Source organism: Homo sapiens, chromosome 1, assembly GCF_000001405.40.
Source record: "Homo sapiens chromosome 1, GRCh38.p14 Primary Assembly".
NCBI classification, from domain to species: Eukaryota; Metazoa; Chordata; class Mammalia; order Primates; family Hominidae; genus Homo; species Homo sapiens.
In genome coordinates this window covers 94,492,114-94,514,543 of record NC_000001.11, presented here as the reverse complement: position 1 = coordinate 94,514,543, position 22,430 = coordinate 94,492,114, and the positions used below count along the sequence as shown (strand labels likewise).

At 37.1% G+C, this 22,430-nt stretch overlaps 1 protein-coding gene across 8 annotated transcripts in view; it reads right to left on the bottom strand.

The window, feature by feature from the left end:
• ABCD3 (ATP binding cassette subfamily D member 3) overlaps positions 1-22,430 on the bottom strand; it is a 133,533-nt gene that overhangs the window by 4,120 nt on the left and 106,983 nt on the right. For all 8 annotated transcript variants that reach the window (XM_047426556.1, XM_006710802.3, NM_002858.4 and 5 more), the window contains 5 exons: positions 15,865-15,942; positions 15,696-15,761; positions 15,510-15,599; positions 14,930-15,049; positions 7,902-8,006 (listed from right to left, as the gene is read on the bottom strand). In XM_047426556.1, coding sequence (XP_047282512.1) covers positions 7,902-8,006; positions 14,930-15,049; positions 15,510-15,599; positions 15,696-15,761; positions 15,865-15,942 — 459 coding nt within the window. The remainder of the gene's footprint in view (positions 1-7,901; positions 8,007-14,929; positions 15,050-15,509; positions 15,600-15,695; positions 15,762-15,864; positions 15,943-22,430) is intronic.

Sequence of the window (22,430 nt, the reverse complement as noted above, 5' to 3'; positions counted from 1 at the left end):
TACAAAATTATGAAAAATGTTTTAAATTTAAGCACTTTCTGGATTTCAGATTGTGAATACGTATTTATAGATCTGTACTTCAGATTTTCAAAAAAAAAAAAACATTAATAGATAATAGCTGTAGTTGCTCTAGATCAGTGGTTCTCAACCAAGGTGGGGAGGTCAGTGATATTTGTCCCTCAGGGGGACATTTGGCAATGACTGGAGGCATTTTTATTTTCACAACTGAAAGCACTACTGCCATCTAATGGGCAGAGGCCAGGGATGCTTTCTAAACATCCTCCAGTGCACAGCAACCCTCAACCCTGCCCAACTAGGAATTAACAGTGAAAAGGTCAATAGTGCCAGGACTGAGAAACCCCACTCTGGGTCACTGTTCCTCCAAGTGGATCACTCAAGGCTGGCAAATGCATGCTTAGGGCATCTGGGAAATTTCCACCATGGTTTCTTAATTTTATTTTCATTTTGATGATAATTTTTAAAAGATCATTATAAGTATATTCTAGATCATTTTTACCATGAGATTCAAGTTCCTCGGTTTGTATCTACACCTCTGATTGCCAAAGTGATATAAAATAAAACTTCTAATGTGTAATAAGTTTGGCTGCACTGTAAAAAGGTTCTTAAATTGGTTAGGAATTGCATAATAAAATAAGCATATTATCAGTATTAATAAAACATATATTTCAACCATACCACACTTTTCTGATTTTTCAGAGCTCATTTAAGATATTATTTCTCTGTTTATGATACTACAATAATTGGATTAGACATCTACTTAATGCACACATTCTTTACATGAGGATATAAAAAATATATGAAGTATATAAGTCAAAATAAAAAGCAAAATGCAAAATAATGAAATTTGAACCTCAGATTCTATCTTTCCTTAATTAAATCCCAAACCACTGGTTTAGTTTCATCTAAACGGTATCATAGGTCTCTTTAATGTTGTAAATTTGAAACTGTATTTAAGTTTTGTCTGTATTTAATGTATTTAATGTGTAAGTTTATATTAGTTTTGTAGCTGTAAAAGAGCTCTAAGCTTAAGGAATTCACACCTCATCATGTTTATACATGTTTAAGTGGTATCACAGTAATTTAAATTATCAATGAGGCCCCATATGAATTTTCTTTTAAATGGAACTGATGTTTTATAGAATTTATACAGTCTTATGTGGGGACTTCAAGCCTATAGCTAGAGCATAAGAGGAAATCACGTGGTCAAAATTACCAGCAAAGAGCTGCTATGTCATTGAATCAACTGCAGACTACATGGTTTTATGTACATGAGAATACCATAAACATCTCTAATACCTATATATTTGAAAACCAACATGAACAAATGTATAATTATATATTACCAAAGCAAATTCAAGAATAGAAAATAAATCATTAACAAGATAAAATCAGTAGTTAAAATCTTTCTACAAAGAATAGCAAATTCTTTCATCATCACGCCAGTGCTTCTCAAACTTTAATGCGCATTTGAATCATCTTAGAATTTTGGTAAAATGCAGATTCTGATTTAGCAGGGCTTGAAATTCTGCATTTCTAACAAACCCCTAGGTGACACTGCTGCTGCTGATCATGAACACACTTGGAATAGTAGGAATTCATAATATATATACTCAATATGACCTTTTTTATTTATTGAGAACTCCCAAAGAACACATACAAAATGTTAAAAATCCTCATCTACCTCATTTACTTATATAGAAACTATAAAACAGCTAGGATATACTACATTTGTTCCAAAATTTAACCATAGTATAGATGTTGGTAACAATTTCTCAAAGAAAGAAAACTGATACTATTGAATAATTACTTAAAGAATGGAACCAATAAAGATAGCCTCAGACTTAGCTACTAAAAGCAGCTTTGGTAAAATATTGCTCAGGCTAGAAAATAAAACGGATAAATTAAAAATTGCCAAATAATTATTGTTGAGTTTTATTCATAAAAAAACTCTAATGTTTAGATAAAGTTAATGGAAAAATTAAGAAAAGGTCAGTTTATTAACTCTAAGTAATGAGGTAAAGTGAAATAGATTTAAATACGTTGTTTTATATAAATGAGGTATCTTTTATATCTTTTATCTTTTATATCTCATTTATATAAAACAACATATTTAAATATATTTCCCATATATAAAGAGAATTATAAAGAGATTTAAATATGTTGTTTTACATAAATGAGGTATCTTTTATATCTCATTTATATATCAATGAGATATCTTTTACATGACTACCTAAAATTTCTATATCATTTAGGAAGGAAAAAAAGGAAAAAGGGAGGAAAGAAGAGAAGAAATCAGTAGTGAGGGTCCTGTCTGTCAGAAGGAAAACTAACAAACAGAAAGGACATCCACACCAAAAACCCATCTGTACATCACGGTCACCAAAGACCAAAAGTAGATAAAACCACAAAGATGGGGAAAAAACAGAGCAGAAAAACTGGAAACTCTAAAAAGCAGAGCGCCTCTCCTCCTCCAAAGGAACGCAGTTCCTCACCAGCAACGGAACAAAGCTGGACGGAGAATGACTTTGACGAGCTGAGAGAAGAAGGCTTCAGACGATCAAATTACTCCGAGCTACGGGAGGAAATTCAAACCAAAGGCAAAGAAGCTGAAAACTTTGAAAAAAGTTTAGAAGAATGTATAACTAGAATAACCAATACAGGGAAGTGCTTAAAGGAGCTGATGGAGCTGAAAACCAAGGCTCAAGAACTATGTGAAGAATGCAGAAGCCTCAGGAGCCGATGTGATCAACTGGAAGAAAGGGTATCAGTGATGGAAGATGAAGTGAATGAAATGAAGCGAGAAGGGAAGTTTAGAGAAAAAAGAACAAACAGAAACGAGCAAAGCCTCCAAGAAATATGGGACTATGTGAAAAGACCAAATCTACATCTGATTGGTGTACCTGAAAGTGACGGGGAGAATGGAACCAAGTTGGAAAACACTCTGCAGGATATTATCCAGGAGAACTTCCCCAGTCTAGCAAGGCAGGCCAACGTTCAGATTCAGGAAATACAGAGAACACCACAAAGATACTCCTCGAGAAGAGCAACTCCAAGACACATAATTGTCAGATTCACCAAAGTTGAAATGAAGGAAAAAATATTAAGGGCAGCCAGAGAGAAAGGTCGGGTTACCCACAAAGGGAAGCCGATTAGACTAACAGCGGATCTCTCGGCAGAAACCCTACAAGCCAGAAGAGAGTGGGGGACAATATTCAACATTCTTAAAGAAAAGAATTTTCAACCCAGAATTTCATATCCAGCCAAACTAAGCTTCATAAGTAAAGGAGAAATAAAATACTTTACAGACAAGCAAATGCTGAGAGATTTTGTCACCACCGGGCCTGCCCTAAAAGAGCTCCTGAAGGAAGCACTAAACATGGAAAGGAACAACTGGTACCAGCCGCTGCAAAATCATGCCAAAATGTAAAGACCATCGAGACTAGGAAGAAACTGCATGAACTAACGAGCAAAATAACCAGCTAACATCATAATGACAGGATCAAATTCACACATAACATTATTAACTTTAAATGTAAATGGACTAAATGCTCCAATTAAAAGACACAGACTGGCAAATTGGATAAGGAGTCAAGACCCATCAGTGTGCTGTATTCAGGAAACCCATCTCACGTGCAGAGACACACATAGGCTCAAAATAAAAGGATGGAGGAAGATCTACCAAGCAAATGGAAAACAAAAAAAAGGCAGGGGTTGTGATCCTAGCCTCTGATAAAACAGACTTTAAACCAACAAAGATCAAAAGAGACAAAGAAGGCCATTACATAATGGTAAAGGGATCAATTCAACAAGAAGAGCTAACTATCCTAAATATATATGCACCCAATACAGGAGCACCCAGATTCATAAAGCAAGTCCTGAGCGACCTACAAAGAGACTTAGACTCCCACACATTAATAATGGGAGACTTTAACACCCCACTGTCAACATTAGTCAGATCAACAAGACAGAAAGTCAACAAAGATACCCAGGAATTGAACTCAGCTCTGCACCAAGCAGACCTAATAGACATCTACAGAACTCTCCACCCCAAATCAACAGAATACACATTTTTTTCAGCACCACACCACACCTATTCCAAAATTGACCACATACTTGGAAGTAAAACTCTCCTCAGCAAATGTAAAAGAACAGAAATTATAACAAACTATCTCTCAGACCACAGTGCAATCAAACTAGAACTCAGGATTAAGAAACTCACTCAAAACCACTCAACTACATGGAAACTGAACAACCTGCTCCTGAATGACTAATGGGTACATAACGAAATGAAGGCAGAAATAAAGATGTTCTTTGAAACCAAGGAGAACAAAGACACAACATACCAGAATCTCTGGGACGCATTCAAAGCAGTGTGTAGAGGGAAATTTATAGCACTAAATGCCCACAGGAGAAAGCAGGAAAGATCCAAAATTGACACCCTAACATCACAATTAAAAGAACTAGAAAAGCAAGAGAAAACACATTCAAAAGCTAGCAGAAGGCAAGAAATAACTAAAATCAGAGCAGAACTGAAGGAAATAGAGACATAAAAAGCCCTTCAAAAAATTAATGAATCCAGGAGCTGGTTTTTTGAAAGGATCAACAAAATTGATAGACTGCTAGCAAGACTAATAAAGAAAAAAAGAGAGATGAATCAAATAGACACAATAAAAAATGATAAAGGGGATTATCACCACCGATCCCACAAAAATACAAACTACCATCGGAGAATACTACAAACACCTCTACGCAAATAAACTAGAAAATCTAGAAGAAATGGATAAATTCCTCGACACATACACACTCCCAAGACTAAACCAGGAAGAAGTTGAATCTCTGAATAGACCAATAACAGGAGCTGAAATTGTGGCAATAATCAATAGCTTACCAACCAAAAAGAGTCCAGGACCAGATGGAGTCACAGCCGAATTCTACCAGAGGTACAAGGAGGAACTGGTACCATTCCTTCGGAAACTATTCCAGTCAATAGAAAAAGAGGGGATCCTCCCTAACTCATTTCATGAGGCCAGCATCATCCTGATACCAAAGCCAGGCAGAGACACAACCAAAAAAAGAGAATTTTAGACCAATATCCTTGATGAACATTGATGCAAAAATCCTCAATAAAATACTCGCAAACCGAATCCAGCACCACATCAAAAAGCTTATCCACCATGATCAACTGGGCTTCATCCCTGGGATGCAAAGGCTGGTTCAATATACGCAAATCAATAAATGTAATCCAGCATATAAACAGAACCAAAGACAAAAACCACATGATTATCTCAATAGATGCAGAAAAGGCCTTTGACAAAATTCAACAACCATTCATGGTAAAAACTCTCAATAAATTAGGTATTGATGGGACCTATCTCAAAATAATAAGAGCTATCTATGACAAACCCACAGCCAATATCATACTGAATGGGCAAAAACTGGAAGCATTCCCTTTGAAAACTGGCACAAGACAGGGATGCCCTCTCTCACCACTCCTATTCAACATAGTGTTGGAAGTTCTGGCCAGGACAATTAGGCAGGACAAGGAAATAAAGGGTATTCAATTAGGAAAAGAGGAAGTCAAATTGTCCCTGTTTGCAGATGACATGATTGTATATCTAGAAAACCCCATTGTCTCAGCCCAAAATTTCCTTAAGCTGATAAGCAACTTCAGCAAAGTCTCAGGATACAAAAATCAATGTACAAAAATCACAAGCATTCTTATACACCAACAACAAACAGCCAAATCACGAGTGAACTCCCATTCACAATTGCTTCAAAGAGAATAAAATACCTAGGAATCCAACTTACAAGGGATGTGAAGGACCTCTTCAAGGAGAACTACAAACCACTGCTCAAGGAAATAAAAGAGGATACAAACAAATGGAAGAACATTCCATGCTCATGGGTAGGAAGAATCAATATCGTGAAAATGGCCATACTGCCCAAGGTAATTTACAGATTCAATGCCATCCCCATCAAGCTACCAATGACTTTCTTCACAGAATTGGAAAAAACTACTTTAAAGTTCATATGGAACCAAAAAAGAGCACGCATCGCCAAGTCAATCCTAAGCCAAAAGAACAAAGCTGGAGGCATCACACTACCTGACTTCAAACCATACTACAAGGCTACAGTAACCAAAACAGCATGGTACTGTTACCAAAACAGAGATATAGATCAATGGAACAGAACAGAGCCCTCAGAAATAACGCCGCATATCTACAACTATCTAATCTTTGACAAACCTGAGAAAAACAAGCAATGGGGAAAGCATTCCCTATTTAATAAATGGTGCTGGGAAAACTGGCTAGCCATATGTAGAAAGCTAAAACTGGATCCCTTCCTTACATCTTATACAAAAATCAATTCAAGATGGATTAAAGACTTAAACGTTAGACCTAAAACCATAAAAACCCTAGGAGAAAACCTAGGCATTACCATTCAGGACATAGGCATGGGCAAGGACTTCATGTCTAAAACACCAAAAGCAATGGCAACAAAAGCCAAAATTGACAAATGGGATCTAATTAAACTAAAGAGCTTCTGCACAGCAAAAGAAACTACCATCAGAGTGAACAGGCAGCCTACAAAATGGGAGAAAATTTTCGCAACCTACTCATCTGACAAAGGGCTAATATCCAGAATCTACAATGAACTCAAACAAATTTACAAGAAAAAAACAAACAACCCCATCAAAAAGTGGGCGAAGGACATGAACAGACACTTCTCAAAAGAAGACATTTATGCAGCCAAAAAACACATGAAACAATGCTCACCATCACTGGCCATCAGAGAAATGCAAATCAAAACCACAGTGAGATAACATCTCACACCAGTTAGAATGGCAATCATTAAAAAGTCAGGAAACAACAGGTGCTGGAGAAGATGTGGAGAAACAGGAACACTTTTACACTGTTGGTGGGACTGTAAACTAGTTCAACCATTGTGGAAGTCAGTGTGGCGATTCCTCAGGGATCTAGAACTAGAAATACCATTTGACCCAGCCATCCCATTACTGGGTGTATACCCAAAGGACTATAAATCATGCTGCTATAAAGACACATGCACACGTATGTTTACTGCGGCATTATTCACAATAGCAAAGACTTGGAACCAACCCAAATGTCCAACAAAGATAGACTGGATTAAGAAAATGTGGCACATATACACCATGGAATACTATGCAGCCATAAAAAATGATGAGTTCATGTCCTTTGTAGGGACATGGATGAAATTGGAAATCATCATTCTCAGTAAACTTTCGCAAGAACAAAAAACTAAACACCGCATATTCTCACTCATAGGTGGGAATTGAACAATGAGAACACATGGACACAGGAAGGGGAACATCACACTCTGGGGACTGTTGTGGGGTGGGGGAAGGGGGGAGGGATAGCATTGGGAGATATACCTAATGCTAGATGATGAGTTAGTGGGTGCAGCGCACCAGCATGGCACATGTATACATATGTAACTAACCTGCACATTTTGCACATGTACCCTAAAACTTAAAGTATAATAATAATAAATTAAAAAATAAATAAATAAATCTTTTAACATAAAAGTTAAAAACTTTTGTAACTCATTTATATATAAATGAGATATCTTTTGTATCTCATTTATATATATCTTTTATATCTCACTTATATAAAACAACATATTTAAATCTATTTCCCATATATAAAGAGAATTATATACAGAACTGTATTTATAATTCTTTTTCTTTTATTCATATGTTTTAAATCTTTATTAAAACAAGAAATCTTTTGGTAGAAATTTTGTTACTTAGTGACCTGGAATCTTCTCTTTGGACAGATTTGGACATAGTTTACACTAGGTAGGAGGCCATGGCTCCTCAAACTGAGCACCTGCGTACTTACCTTTCGACAATGACTATAAATGTAGCCTTCCACGTCGACACTAACTGCACTTGTGCATTCATCCAAAATGGCAAACTGGGGTTTATGATAAAATAATCTTGCCATCTGAAGCATAAAAAAAATTTTTTGTGTAAAACACAGGCAGACCTAAAATTAGTAAGCCGAAACAAACTTATGTTAAATATGCATTTGTAGTCTTGTAAATCAAAAGTATAAAAATTATTCTAATTCAAAAAATCTACTTCCCAGAAATAGAAACAATATAAACATAACTGTTTTTGCTGTCATCCTGAACAAAGGGAAAAACGTACTTCATGGGAAATACTAATTGCTCAGAGTAAAACACAAACCTTAAGACTGATGAGAGAGGAAGTTTCAAACTAGTATTAAAGAAAGCTCACTAAACAAATAAGATTACAGAGTACATATTTTAACCAAATCTCAGAATTCAGACTAGATGACTCCGACGCAAAAAGGTCTCTATTTTAAATATTTTGTTGCTTAAGTAATGGTACCAATTAATATTCTCACCAATAATTTTTATTGTACCTGTTTTATATCCCCATTGTCAGTTCTGGTTGTGCTCATTTTTTTAAGCCTTTGCTAATTTTATAAATGAAAATTAACATCAAAATTATAGCATACATTTCTTTGACTATCAGGAATGATGAACATTTTCCTACATTTATGTTCCCATGTATTTTCTGGGGATTGTTTATTCTGACCTTTTGTCTAACAGATATTCCAATTTTTGTCATCTGCCCCCTGACAAGATCTCCATGTTTAAGACCAATGGGGCACTCTTCTATCCTTAATTTACCTTCTCTGCAACATTCTCTTTAGAAGACCACTCCATCCTTCTTGAGAAAGTGATAGTGAAACCATGCACCTAAGTTTCCTCCTACTTCTGAGGATCCTTTCTCAGCTTCTTTTCTAGCACTTTCTCCTTCACTCGACCATTAAATACAGGAGCTCCTTAGGGCTAATTTCTAGGTCTCCTCCTCTTTTTCCTGTATTCTGTCAGTGATCTCATCCAATCTTCTGATTTCAAATACTATTTACATTTTATAAACTTGCAATATGCATCTCTCACTCATACTTCTCAAATTTCCAGATATATAAAAATATCAGCCAGGCACAGTGGGTCACGCCTATAATCCCAGCACTTTGTGAGGTTGTTGCAGGAGCCATTGCTAGAGATCAGGAGTTTGAAACCAGCCCAGGCAACACAGGGAAACCACATCTCTTAAAAAAAAAAAAAAAAAAAAAAATTAGCCAAGCATGGTGGTGTTCATCTGTGGTTCCAACTACTCAGGAGGCTAAGACAGGAGGGCTTGAGCCCAGTAGGTCAAGGCTCAAGGCTGTAGTGAGCTATGATCAGGCCACTGCACTCCAGCCTGGCTGAAACAGCAAGACGCTATCTCAAAAAACAAACATTTTAAATTTAAAACATTTAAAAAATTAAAAATAAAAATTCCTCTTTGAGTTTCTACTTGGGTATCTCACAGGACTCTCAAACGTTAAAAGTCTAAAACTCAAATGTAATTTCTAGATTTTCCCTCTAAAATCCATTCCCTTCCCTAATCTTGAACACTTCAGCAAATGAAACTATCAAACAGTTGCTCCAGCTAGAAAGCCAGGAGTCCTCCCTGGTCTGGTCCTTCCCTTTTCCTCTTCCCTTTCACTCTCCCACAGCTATTTTTAAAATGAACTAAAAAGTCCATTCAAGAAAGAAATGTGAAGTTTCAAGTTCACTCACTTTTCCTCATCTCCACAAACATGCCCTTAGCCCAGAGCACACTCATCTCCTGTCTGGATAGACTACAAGTAGCCTCCTACCACTTCTGCTGCTCCTCTCCAGTCCACTCTCCATGTAACCAGAGAACATCTTTCACAAATGTCAATCAGGGAACTTCACTCTCTGGCTTAAAACCCTTCAACAACTTCCCATTTCACTTAAAACTCAAACTCCTTACCACAGTCTACAAGACCTGCACAATCTTATTTCTACTCACGCTCTAACCCCAACATTCTAGCCAACACCGCCTCCTCTCAACTGCTAGGAACAAGGTGCTTTACACCTTAGAGCCTTAAACACACATCATTCTTTTCTGATGTCTCAAATGCCTTATTCTGTTCCTTAGAGCTTTCAGATTTCTGCTTATAATGTCATCTCAGGCAAACCTACCCTCATCCCTAGCCACAATCCAAGTGGGTCCTTTCTGTAACACCTCTGAAGCACTTCATATATAATCCCAGCACTTTGTGGGGCTGAGGAGGGCAGATCACTTGAGGCTAGGAGTTCGAGACTAGCCTGGCCAACATGGTGAAACCTCGTATCTACTAAAAATACAAAAATTAGCCAGTCATGGTGGTGCATACCTGTAGTCCCAGCTACCTGGGAGGCTGAGGAACAAGAATTGCTTGTACCTGGCCGGGCGCAGCAGCTCACGCCTGTAATCCCAGCACTTTGGGAGGCTGAGGCAGGCAGATCACAAGGTTAGGAGTTCAAGACAAGCCTGGCCAACATAGTGAAACCCTGTCTCTACTAAAAATACAAAAATTAGCTGGGCATGGTGATGCGTGCCTGTAGTCCCAGCTACTCAGGAGGCTGAGGCAGGAGAATCGCTTGAACCCAGGAGGTGGAGGTTATAGTAAGCTGAGATCGTGCCAGTGTACTCCAGCTTCGGCAACAGAGTGAGACTTTGTCTCAAAAAAAAAAAAAAAAAAAAAAAAGAATCACTTGTACCTGAGAGGTGAAGGTTGCAGTGAGCCAAGATTGTGCCACTGCACTCCAGCCTAGGTGAAACAGTGAGACTGCCTCAAAAAAAAAAAAAAAATTCAGAAAAGCAGAGACTGTTTTAATCACTACCATGTACTTGACACTTATATATGGGTAGCATTCAACTATCTAATAAATGAATGACTAAAACAGCTTTCCACCTGTTTGCATGAAGTGAGGAAGGGGAGGCAGCAAGTATAGACTATGAAGAAGTTCAACTGTGCAGAAAATGAAAGGTACAGATCACAGAGAAGCTTTGGCTAAGGCAGAGTTTGCTTTTTAGATCAAAGAGACCTGAAAAATGTCTTTCCACAAGAGAAGGACTAGAAGAGGTTAAATGTAGGTGGGGGCTGCGGGAGGGGATATAACTGAAGGAAAAGGATGTGATAAAGTCAGAAGACAGAGGCTCCATAAACATAGATGGAAGTATTTGCCTTTCTCAAGAAGGATGACATATCCTCCAAGACAGCGGAAGTAGGGAGGTCAGGACAGAGCAGCACACAGTTAATTAAGAGGAATGGTTATCTGAGGGCATTCCACCAATGCCTCTCCTCTCTGCTCCCAAAGGACTCTCTGCGTACATTCATCACCACACTTACTACATGACATGGACATTTTCTCAACATGTGTCTCTCTCGCTCCCACTATGCTGTCAGCTACTTAATGCCACAATACAAGAAAGTTGTAAAGCAGGAGTGTCCAATTTTTTGGTTTCCCTGGGCCACACTGGAAGAATAAGAATTGTCTTGGGCCACACATAAAATACACTACCACTAACGATATCTGATGAGCTTAAAAAAAATTACACACACAAAAAAATCTCATAAGATTTTAAGAAAGTTTATGAATTTGTGTTAGGTTGCATTCAAAGCTGTCCTGGGCTGCATGTGTCCGTGAGCCACAGGTTGGACAAGCTTGTTGTAAAGTGAATAAGCATATGCACACTGCAGCCATACTGCTTGCCTAAGCCTGACAAAGCCCCCACCACCAGCTTTAACATTTACTAGCTGTCTTTGCTTGGCCAGCTACTGAATTGCACAAAAGTTCAATTTCCTCTGTAAAATGGGGCGCGGCGGCTCACGCATGAAATCCCAGCACATTGGGAGGTCGAAGCAGGTGGATCACTTGAGGTCAGGAGCTCGAGACCAGCCTGGCCAACATGGTGAAACCCCATCTCTACAAAAAAAAATACAAAAATTAGCCAGGCGTGGTGGTGCATGCCTGTAATCCCAGCTACTTGGGAGGCTGAGGCAGGAGAATCTCTTGAACCTGGGAGGCAGAGATTACGGTAAGCTGAGATTGTGCCACTGCACTCCGGCCTGGGCGACAGAATGAGACTCTGTCTCAAAAAAAAAAAAAAAAACTAGGGGGGCATTCCCAGTTCTTACCTCACAGGACTGTTGTGAGGATGAAATGAGATCACCTGTGTAAGGTGCCTGACATACTGTCTGTCATCTTTTCAGCACTCAATAAAAATTAGCTGTCATTTAATTGAAATAATAGCCTATCTTTCTTTGAAAAGTAGAAGGCGAGTTATTCTGCCAAGTGCAGTGGGTTAAGTAACGGGGTAGAAAACCCAAAATTGGTAGTTTTAAAATGATTGTCATGAAAAATGAGAGAAGGATAAAAATAAGTAAAATGATTGCTAAGCCATGCTGTGAGCCCATCTGATGTTTTTTAGCTGTGCTCAGAAGAGCGGTTAGAGAAGTGCCAAGGCAAATAACTGGGCTGGGATTTAGGTAATACGATGACACAAAAAGTGGGAAAGGAAGTTAAGGGGAAGGGATGAACTGTTCATTCCTTAAGAAATATATCTTATCTCCTATGGGCCACACCCTGGATTATGAAGTCTGTACTGGACAGGAAAGGAGGCAGAGACAGAAAAGGACTGAACAATTGTAAGGAAAGGGAAGGATTAATATTCTAGAGATCTCAGGGAATTTGAGAAAGGGGGATAGTTGCTAATTTAAGGTAAAAAAAAAAAAGATTTACAAAAATGGATTAAAAAAACACTAAAAATTTTATAACAGTGGTATCTCTGGTAAAGGGGTTTGGCCCAATTTATACTTAAATAAATATTCCACTTTTCCATCATATATACTTTTTCATAATTCAAAATAAGAAAAGTTATTACTAAATAGGAAGAGCAAGAAAAATGGAGTGGAAAAGATAACTTTTGGTCAGAAACACAAGATATCCCAAATTGTGACATTAGCTGGAGCAACCCTGGCTGACTCACTGTTCTAAGTGGCTAGGCCTTTTAGGTCTGTTCTTCCTAAAAATTCTAATACCTACTTTCCCCTCAACTTTCTACTTTGGTAATTTTCAATCCTACCAAAAAACTGAAAGGACAGTAAAATGAATACACATATATAATCTTTACCTAATTTCACCAACGTTAGTATTTGTAGCGTTAGCCTTCTCCTTTCCACCCTCTGAAACAAAACAACAGGCTCTCTTTTACACATCACATTCAATTCTCTAGACAATGGCTTGGCCATGCTCCAGTTATATATGCAGTGGTGTCACAGGTGAGCTTTCCCCATTTCCCAAACGCCTCTATTATGGATCATGTGTTTTTTTTTTTTTTTTTTTCTTTTGAGACAGAGTCTTGCTCTGTTGCCCTGGCTAGAGTGTAGTGGCATGATCTTGGCTCACTGCAGCCTATGCCTCCCGGGTTGAAGTGATTCTCCCGCCTCAGCCCCCCACTGCTCTGGGCACGCCTTTGAATTCCTAATCTTCAAATCAAAATTATCCCTCCTGTACTTTTATACCACACACACACTGTTCCTTGGTTTAAGTACATTCATTATTCATTCTCTGAGTTTCCGTCGTGTCCATTTCTGAACCACATCCTTCCATTTTCTCTGAAGACATAGTACAGAAATTTAAAGTTATTTTGCAGCTCTTTTTTGCAGTTATTTCTATAGTCATCTTCTAAATTGACTCTAGAAATGCCTAATCATTTCAAATTTTCACTCCTTCAGCCTAATTTCCATTTTGAATATAGCTATTATCTCTCTCATTTATGATTTACTCTTCACACTAGATTCATCTCACGTTATAGCACTAGCCAGGCAAGTCACACTATTAGGTTAATATTAACCTCATGTAGAGTGGGTATGATTTTGGGAAAAACAACTTGCAAAATCAGGGACTCGGAGGTAACAAAAAGGTGGAATATAACCTGAATATAATGGGTCAGAAATTCTGCCATAAGCCAATTTCTTTTGCTTTCTTTCCTTAGCTACAGTTTTCTCTAATCTCCATACTCTGCAGGGGGAGAGGAGAATCTCTTGCTTGGATCTATTCAAACTATGAAATATATAGTTAAAAAATGACTCTTTATGAAGTTGCCCCTCTTGACAAGGTACCCAAACTACCGTTCTTTTTAAATTTTTATTTATTTATTTATTTTTAGAGAGACGATCTCCTTCTATCGCCCAGCCTGGAGTGCCACGGTGTGTGATCACAGCCCAATGCAGCCTCAAACTCCTGGGCTCAAGCAATCTTTCCGCCTCCCAGTAGCTAGGACTATAGGTGTGTGCCACTACGCCCAGATAATTTTTAAATTTTTTTTTGTAGAGAAAGGGTCTTGCTATGTTGCCCAGGCTGGTCTCATTCTTACTACGTAGTGTTTAGCGCATATTTTTGGTTTGAGACAAGTTTAGTCATCATAACAATTAAAGTAGTTTCTTTCAAATGCTTGTTTATATTAGGAAAACTTAAAAATTCTAAGTAACTTTAAGTAGTAGATACTGAACCTTGAAACAAAAACATACATATAATAGTGGAGGAAAAGGGCAAGAACAGAATAAAGATAAAATTTGAATGGATCGTTTCTAATACCTTCAGCTATTTCAGAAAGAATAGCCTGAGTGATACAAAAGAGATGTCTATAGGGAAGAGACATGAGAAGAAATTTCATAACCCAGCCAGGATTACCTTATATCCCAGGAATAATGAGCTACAGAGTTTCTCTGAACTTTTAGAAAAATGGATTATTGGTATATAGTCGGATCTGCAGCTTTTCCTTTCATAGATACTGGCAGGGTATTTATGAATTTTTCAGAATTCCAAATTTACATGCAAGTTAAAGATTTTCAAGCACTTTTATGATAATTTAAACTAATCCATACTGAAACAGCTGCTGAATAAAAAAATATAAGATGAAACTTTGTGTCCTGATTAATCAAAATGCTGGAACCAGTTGCATTCTTGTGCAACTTCTTCACAGTATACTTACCGCCATTCTTTGCTTTTCTCCACCACTGAGTACGTCCATCCAATCCTGAACACTGTCCCAGCCTCCTTCACGTTCAAGGATATGACCCAACTGGACATTGTCTAAGTATTCCTTCAGTACCTTTCAGCAAAATGATTAAAGATGAAATTAAACTTAATATAAGCCAACATTCTTAATAGTGGTTTATTTTTTAAACTGGAATCACTATAATTCTATTGTCTGTACCACTTAAAAGATACATTTCAGAAAAGAATGTGGCACAAGGTAGCCCTGAACCTTTCAGCTCCTAGTATCTACACCAAACTTGACAAAATATGTCTAGTAGCTTAAAGAGAATAACACTATTGTACACAGTAAAAGGATGATGGCAATGAGAAAACAAACAATGGTGTAAAGGTTAAGATTAAACTCTTTTTAAGCCAAGGGATTAACATCTTACCTCAGCTTAGAAAATCACAATTTACAGCTTTGGAAGGCTTTACAGCTTAAGATAAACTACCTGGCATTTAAAATACTTAATTGATTAAAATAAATAATCTGGAGTATTTTCAGTGGATCTAGGATATAAACATTCCCTTACTAGGTCAGAAATTCCCTTCCTTTTCTGATCTTCTCGTCCATCTGGATATATCACTTGATCTCGAAGTGTTCCAAGGGTCATGTAAGGTCTCTGACAGTAGTAGAGCAAAAGTCAATTAGAAGCAACATGAAAAAATAAATAAACAAAAAGATCTTTAGATCAAAGATAACTCAAGCTAGGTCTTACCTGAGGAACATAAAATAATTTTCCTCTTTCAGGTTTAGTTAGACGTCCTCCAAAAAGAGGCCATAACTATTAAAGAGAGAGAAGGGAGAAGAACAATTGTAAAATTTACAAAGTGGTAGACAGTATGGCAAAATAAGACTGCAAAATTTTGAGGCCAACTTGTACTTACTTCACCAAGAACACGGAAAAGTGAACTCTTTCCGCAGCCATTTGGACCACAAATTAGAACATTAGCCCCAGATCGAACCTGAAAAAAAAAAAAAAATCAGTCTGTGAAGTAATTAAATCAAATTAACATATACTTAATCAACATTTCCTTAGACTCAAATATTAATAGCTCCTGGCTAATTATAAGCCTTCTATTTGTCTGTAAATGTAGCATTAGGTAGAGCAGTGAAGAGGTATTGTGAAGGGACCTTTTACTTTGTTTACTTCCAATTTTTACCATTACTTTTTTTTCACTTAAAAAATTATTATTGCTGGGTACTGTGGCTCACACCCATAATCTCAGCATTTTGGGAGGCTAAGGCAGGAGGATCGCTTGAAACTGGGAGTTTGAGACTAACCTGGGAAATAAAACAAGACCCTCATCTCTACAAAAAATAAAAATAAAAAATTAAGCAGGTGTGGTGGTGCACACCTGTAGCCCCAGCTACTTGGGAGGCTGAGGTGGGAGGATTGCTTGAGTCCAGCAGTTTAAGGATGCAGTGAGCTATGATGTCACCTAGGCTGACAGAACAAGACCCCATCTATATACATGTATAAATAAATAAATTTACTGACTGATTGATATCATCAACTTAAGATAAAGAGAGATAAAGTTTAGAAAACTGAGAATTCTTGAAAACAATAAATACATGCGTATACACAGTCTCTTTTAAAAAAATGAAAACGTACTCTATAGACTGTTCTACAACTTGCTTTTATTATTTAACAATATATCACAGATATTCTTCCAGGTCAGTATATTCAGATTCCCCCATTCCTTTCCTTTAATGCCTCAAGCATCTTCCATAGTAAGGATATACTATAACTTATTTAAACACTCCCCTTTGGTTAAATATTTAGGTCATCTGCATTTTGTTTTGCTCTTCTAGATAATATTGCAATGAGTGTACAAGTCAGCAACTTATGTAACAGTAAGCAATGTTTCTGTAGATTCCATTCTTAGAAATTATAAGTGTTTTATCAAAATATATGTGCACTATAAATATATACAAGTGTCACTAAATTATTCTGCAACAACATAAAGATAAATGAGAAAATGTAAAGAGTGGTTAAGTTCTAGGCTTATGATCTTGTAAGTATCTGATCAACTCTGTAAAGAATCAGAAAATCTTAGCTATAATTCTAGCTTACAACACTAAACACCAATGCAACACAATAGGAAAGAAAATATCAGAAAGATATGAGTTACCCTAGCTGGTAACCTGCCTTTAACAAATTTGTTAAGCTGGTGAGCCTTCTGTTCCTATTATTTAATTCAATGAATATTTATTGAATGCTCTCTGTCAGGCTCTGTTCTAGGCAAGTAGGCCATATTAATGAATTAAAGAGACAAAAAATGAAAACAAAAAACCAAAAACCTCTACCCTTACTGGTTTACATTCTAGTGGTAAGAGACATACAATAAAGAATATACATAACATATAAGTTAAATAGTATATTAGAAAATAAGTACTTTGGAGGAAAAAACAGACAAAGGGAACTTGGGAGCGGGTGAGGAAAGCCGCATTTTTAAGGTGGTCAGAGCAGACTTTATTGAATATGACAACTAAGTAAAACTTTGAAAGAAGGGGTGAATTAGGATTTAACTAAAAGAAGACTGTTCTAGCCCCCACCTTTACCACCCATAAAAAGCTGGTACAGCCTGGCCAACATGGTAAAACCCTGTCTCTACTAAAGATACAAAAATTAGCTGGATGCAGTGGCGGGCACCTGTAATCCCAGCTACTCAGGAGGCTGAGGCATGAGAATTGCTTGAACCCGAGAGGCAGAGGTTGCAGTGAGCCAAGATCGTGCCACTGCACTCCAACCTGGGCGACAGAGCAAGGCTCCGTCTCAAAAAAAAAAAAAAAATTTGCTGGTACAAAGGCACTGAAGCAGGAATGTAGCTATCCTATTCAAAAAAAAAAAAAAAAAAAAAAAAAAAAACAGAAACAAGGCTGATTTTACTGAAGAATGAACAGGAAAGAAGAATAGTAGGAAATGAGATCAGAGATGTATCAGGTAGGGGTAGGGTAGTGGCAGGCATTGAAAGAACTTCGACTTTTACTGTGACAAAATGGAGAGCCATCAGCATTGTTCACAATAGCCAAAAGGTGGAAGCAAGGAAGCGACCCAAGAGGATGAATGGATAAACAAAATGTGACACACACACACACACACACACACACAATGAAATGGCATTCAACCTTTAAAATGAATGAAACTCTGACACATGCTACAATACAGATGAACCTTGAAAACATTATGCTAAATGAAATAAGCCAGCCACAAAAGGACAAATGCTGTATGACTTCACTTATATGTGATTCCTAGAGCAGTCAAATTCATAGACAGACAGCATGAGAGGTTACCAGGGGCAAGGGAGAGGAAGGAAGGAGAGTTACTGTTTAATGAGTACAGAGTTTCTATTTGGGATGATGGAAAAGTTCTGGAAATGGATAGTGGTGGTGGCTGCATAACACTGTAAATGTACTTAATGCCACTAAATTATACACTTAGAAATGGTTAAAAAGCCAAATTTCATTTTTACATTTTAAAAACTTCTTAAAGAAAAAAGAATGAAGCAGCCTAACACATAGTTGATCTAAAAGAAAATAACAATTTACACACATAATTGTTAAAGAGTCGTTCAGATGAATAAACTTTTTTCTGATAAAGAATCATTTTGATAGACTTCTTTTTAAATAACACAATTTCCTTATCACATAAAATTGAATATACTGAATGTTCCTCATAAAGCAAGGTTATCATATAAAATAATCATACTCTACTGTAACAGCGATGCCCTTAGAAGGTCCTAAAGTTCAGTGAGCTGGTAATTAAATGGTTCCCTGCTACGTTTTATTTGAGTAATGTTGGCCGTATATAAATTCTCCCCTCCTAACTGCTCTTTGTGGTTTACAATGGCATCAATATTCCTGCCTCCAATAATACCCTTCCACATTATTTGTTGCAGTATGCCAGGAAACCCCAAAAACAGATTTGTAATGATGTATATAAATAATAACCAGACTTACTGAAATCCTGAGTTATCCTTTTATGCTCTAAATCAAGCCTGGCTAACCTACTCAGCATTCACTTTTCTTTACTTCACGGCATTTGGTAGTGTTGAACAAAACTTCCAATTATGACGTCAGCCATGATAAGCCAGTGATAATTTTTCTGTATTAAAAATTTATTAAGTACATATTTTTGTGGGGTTAAATTAAGACTAAAAGCCAAGAGTAACATTTACTGAAAATTAAGTTCTTAACAGCATTGTATTATTGGGGCTCTCAGAATGCTTTACCGGATCAACCAATGCTTTGAACTACCATATTCTTACCAATAAAAATATACCCCCCAAATAATACTCCTTGATAAATCCTACTTTCTATAAATTTATCATAACAAATAAAAAATTCTACACATAAATTTAAGTAAAAGAAAAATTATATAAAAGTATGGTGTTTATGAAGATTAATTAGTTTCTTTAAACACTATAAGTATACCTTACTGAAAAGGTAAAAATCTTAGTAACTTACAAAGTACTTGTTTTTGGAGACAGGATCTCACTCTGTAGCCCAGACTGGAGTATAGTGGTGCGATCTCCGCTCACTGCAACCTCTGCCTCACTGGCACAAGCGATCCTCCCACCTCAGCCGCCTGCGTAACCAGGACCAAAGGTGTGCACCACCACACCTAGCTAATTTTTTTGTATTTTTCACAGAGACGGGGTTTTGCCATGTTGCCCAGGCTGGCCTCAAACTCCTGAGCTCAAGCAATCCGCCCACCTTGGACAAAGTACTATTTTAATCCCCACATGGTAACCTGCAAGCTGTTACCTCTTAGGATCTCTCCAGTCTACATACTTCCCAGAATAATATCTAGACAGATAAATATGTCTGTACTGGGGAGTTTATAATGGAAAATGGTATAAAATCTCTTATTCCAAAGAAGTTTTTATTATTTGGTTACAAATGTAACCCAAAAGGCAAATGAATCATAAAGTAGGAAAGATTTATTTGAGGGGCCAAGTCTGTTTTATTATGCCTCTTTCCAAGAGAAAGAAATCTTTATTTTCAAGTAAGCCAGATGAGTAGAAAATAATTAGAGGCTGCAAAGAACTGAAGAACATTTGTTGATTATAGAAAGGCTATGTTAAGAAAAACAATAAAAAGACATAATGAATGTGAGAAACCCAGGTCTACTTTAGAATACTTTAAGTCAGAAAGAGATTAGAATTCATAACAGTGAACCAAAAAGAAGTCAGAGAAACAGTTCCCAGGGGAGGAGAAAACAAGAATCACAGGATAAACACCAGGAAGTAAGGAACATGGTTATGAAGTAAAACACTCCAACAAGTAAGGACATAAGTGGGGACTCAAGACTTTCCAAATGAAACCCAAAAAAGAGAAAGAATTAAAGACATTTTTTTCCCTTTGTCACTTTTCAACATAATGAGTATCATAATAAACTCATTAATTTAAACATTTTGATGTATTTTAATACAGGGTAGTTATTGTTCTTTTTTTAATTTTATTATTATTATACTTTAAGTTTTAGGGTACATGTGCACAATGTGCAGGTTAGTTACATATGTATACATGTGACATGCTGGTGTGCTGCACCCATTAACTTGTCATTTAGCATTAGGTATATCTCCTAATGCTATCCCTCCCCCAGGACCCCACCCCACAACAGTCCCCAGAGTGTGATGTTCCCCTTCCTGTGTCCATGTGTTCTCATTGTTCAATTCCCACCTATGAGTGAGAATATGCGGTGTTTGGTTTTTTGTCCTTGCGATAGTTTACTGAGAATGATGATTTCCAATTTCATCCATGTCCCTACAAAGGACATGAACTCATCATTTTTTTATGGCTGCATAGTATTCCATGGTGTATATGTGCCACATTTTCTTTATCCAGTCTATCATTGTTGGACATTTGGGTTGGTTCCAAGTCTTTGCTATTGTGAATAGTGCCGCAATAAACATACGTGTGCATGTGTCTTTATAGCAGCATGATTTATAGTCCTTTGGGTATATACCCAGTAATGGGATGGCTGGGTCAAATGGTATTTCTAGTTCTAGATCCCTGAGGAATCCCCACACTGACTTCCACAATGGTTGAACTAGTTTACAGTCCCACCAACAGTGTAAAAGTGTTCCTATTTCTCCACATCCTCTCCAGCACCTGTTGTTTCCTGACTTTTTAATGATTGCCATTCTAACTGGTGTGAGATGTTATCTCACTGTGGTTTTGATTTGCATTTCTCTGATGGCCAGTGATGGTGAGCATTGTTTCATGTGTTTTTTGGCTGCATAAATGTCTTCTTTTGAGAAGTGTCTGTTCATGTCCTTCGCCCACTTTTTGATGGGGTTGTTTTTTTCTTGTAAATTTGTTTGAGTTCATTGTAGATTCTGGATATTAGCCCTTTGTCAGATGAGTAGGTTGCGAAAATTTTCTCCCATTTTGTAGGCTGCCTGTTCACTCTGATGGTAGTTTCTTTTGCTGTGCAGAAGCTCTTTAGTTTAATTAGATCCCATTTGTCAATTTTGGCTTTTGTTGCCATTGCTTTTGGTGTTTTAGACATGAAGTCCTTGCCCATGCCTATGTCCTGAATGGTAATGCCTAGGTTTTCTTCTAGGACATTTTTAAGACTATAAAAGTGAAATTATAGAAACGACAGAAGTCTATTCAATACAAACATAAGGGCTTTAAAAGAAAAGGCTTTGAACTAAAAAGAAAGTGACAGCTTTAGTGTGGTAACATCAAGACAAAATATTATTATGGACCATAATCATGATCCATCTATTCTAAGTATCCCAACCCCCTTTCTCATTGTGCTTCAGTCATGTGTGCCCCTATATTATTGGTATATTTTATTTCTGCATAAAGACAGAAGTGAGGGTAAGTAGGAGAAAGGGACAAGAGGCATTCTTCAACGAAGTCTCACGTCCTTTTTATCCTTGGACAGTGGCAATAAAGGGGCTACTGGAAATCAAGCCTGGCTACCTACTTTGCCAAAGGAACATTCAAGTGACTGAAGTACCTGGAGCTATGTGAGAAAACACTTCTGTGATATGTGGAGCCAGTCAATATTTACCAACTACATTTACATTTTCTGTACTTCTTGTATTTCCTGGCTTTGGAATAAATATGATAACGATAGAATACTCATTGTTGAATAAGTTCAAAGTACTTTGCATAACTAACAATTTTCATTTTTATAATTCATTGAGAAGAAAGTAGACATGTGCTTAATATAAATTACTAAGAGCAGAAAACTGAAGACTTACTTAAGACTGTAACAAATTAAAAACAAGTCCAATAATTATATTCTTTATTTTATAAACTATCAGACAATATTCCTTCAAAGAAAGCAGTAGGAAAAAAATCCCCACATGAAACACAAACTACAGATGGCCATGCACATTAGCATGTGGAGAGGAATTCTAGAGCTGTGCTGTCCAATACCATAGCCACTACTCACATGTGGCTATTTAATTTTAAATCATATTAATTA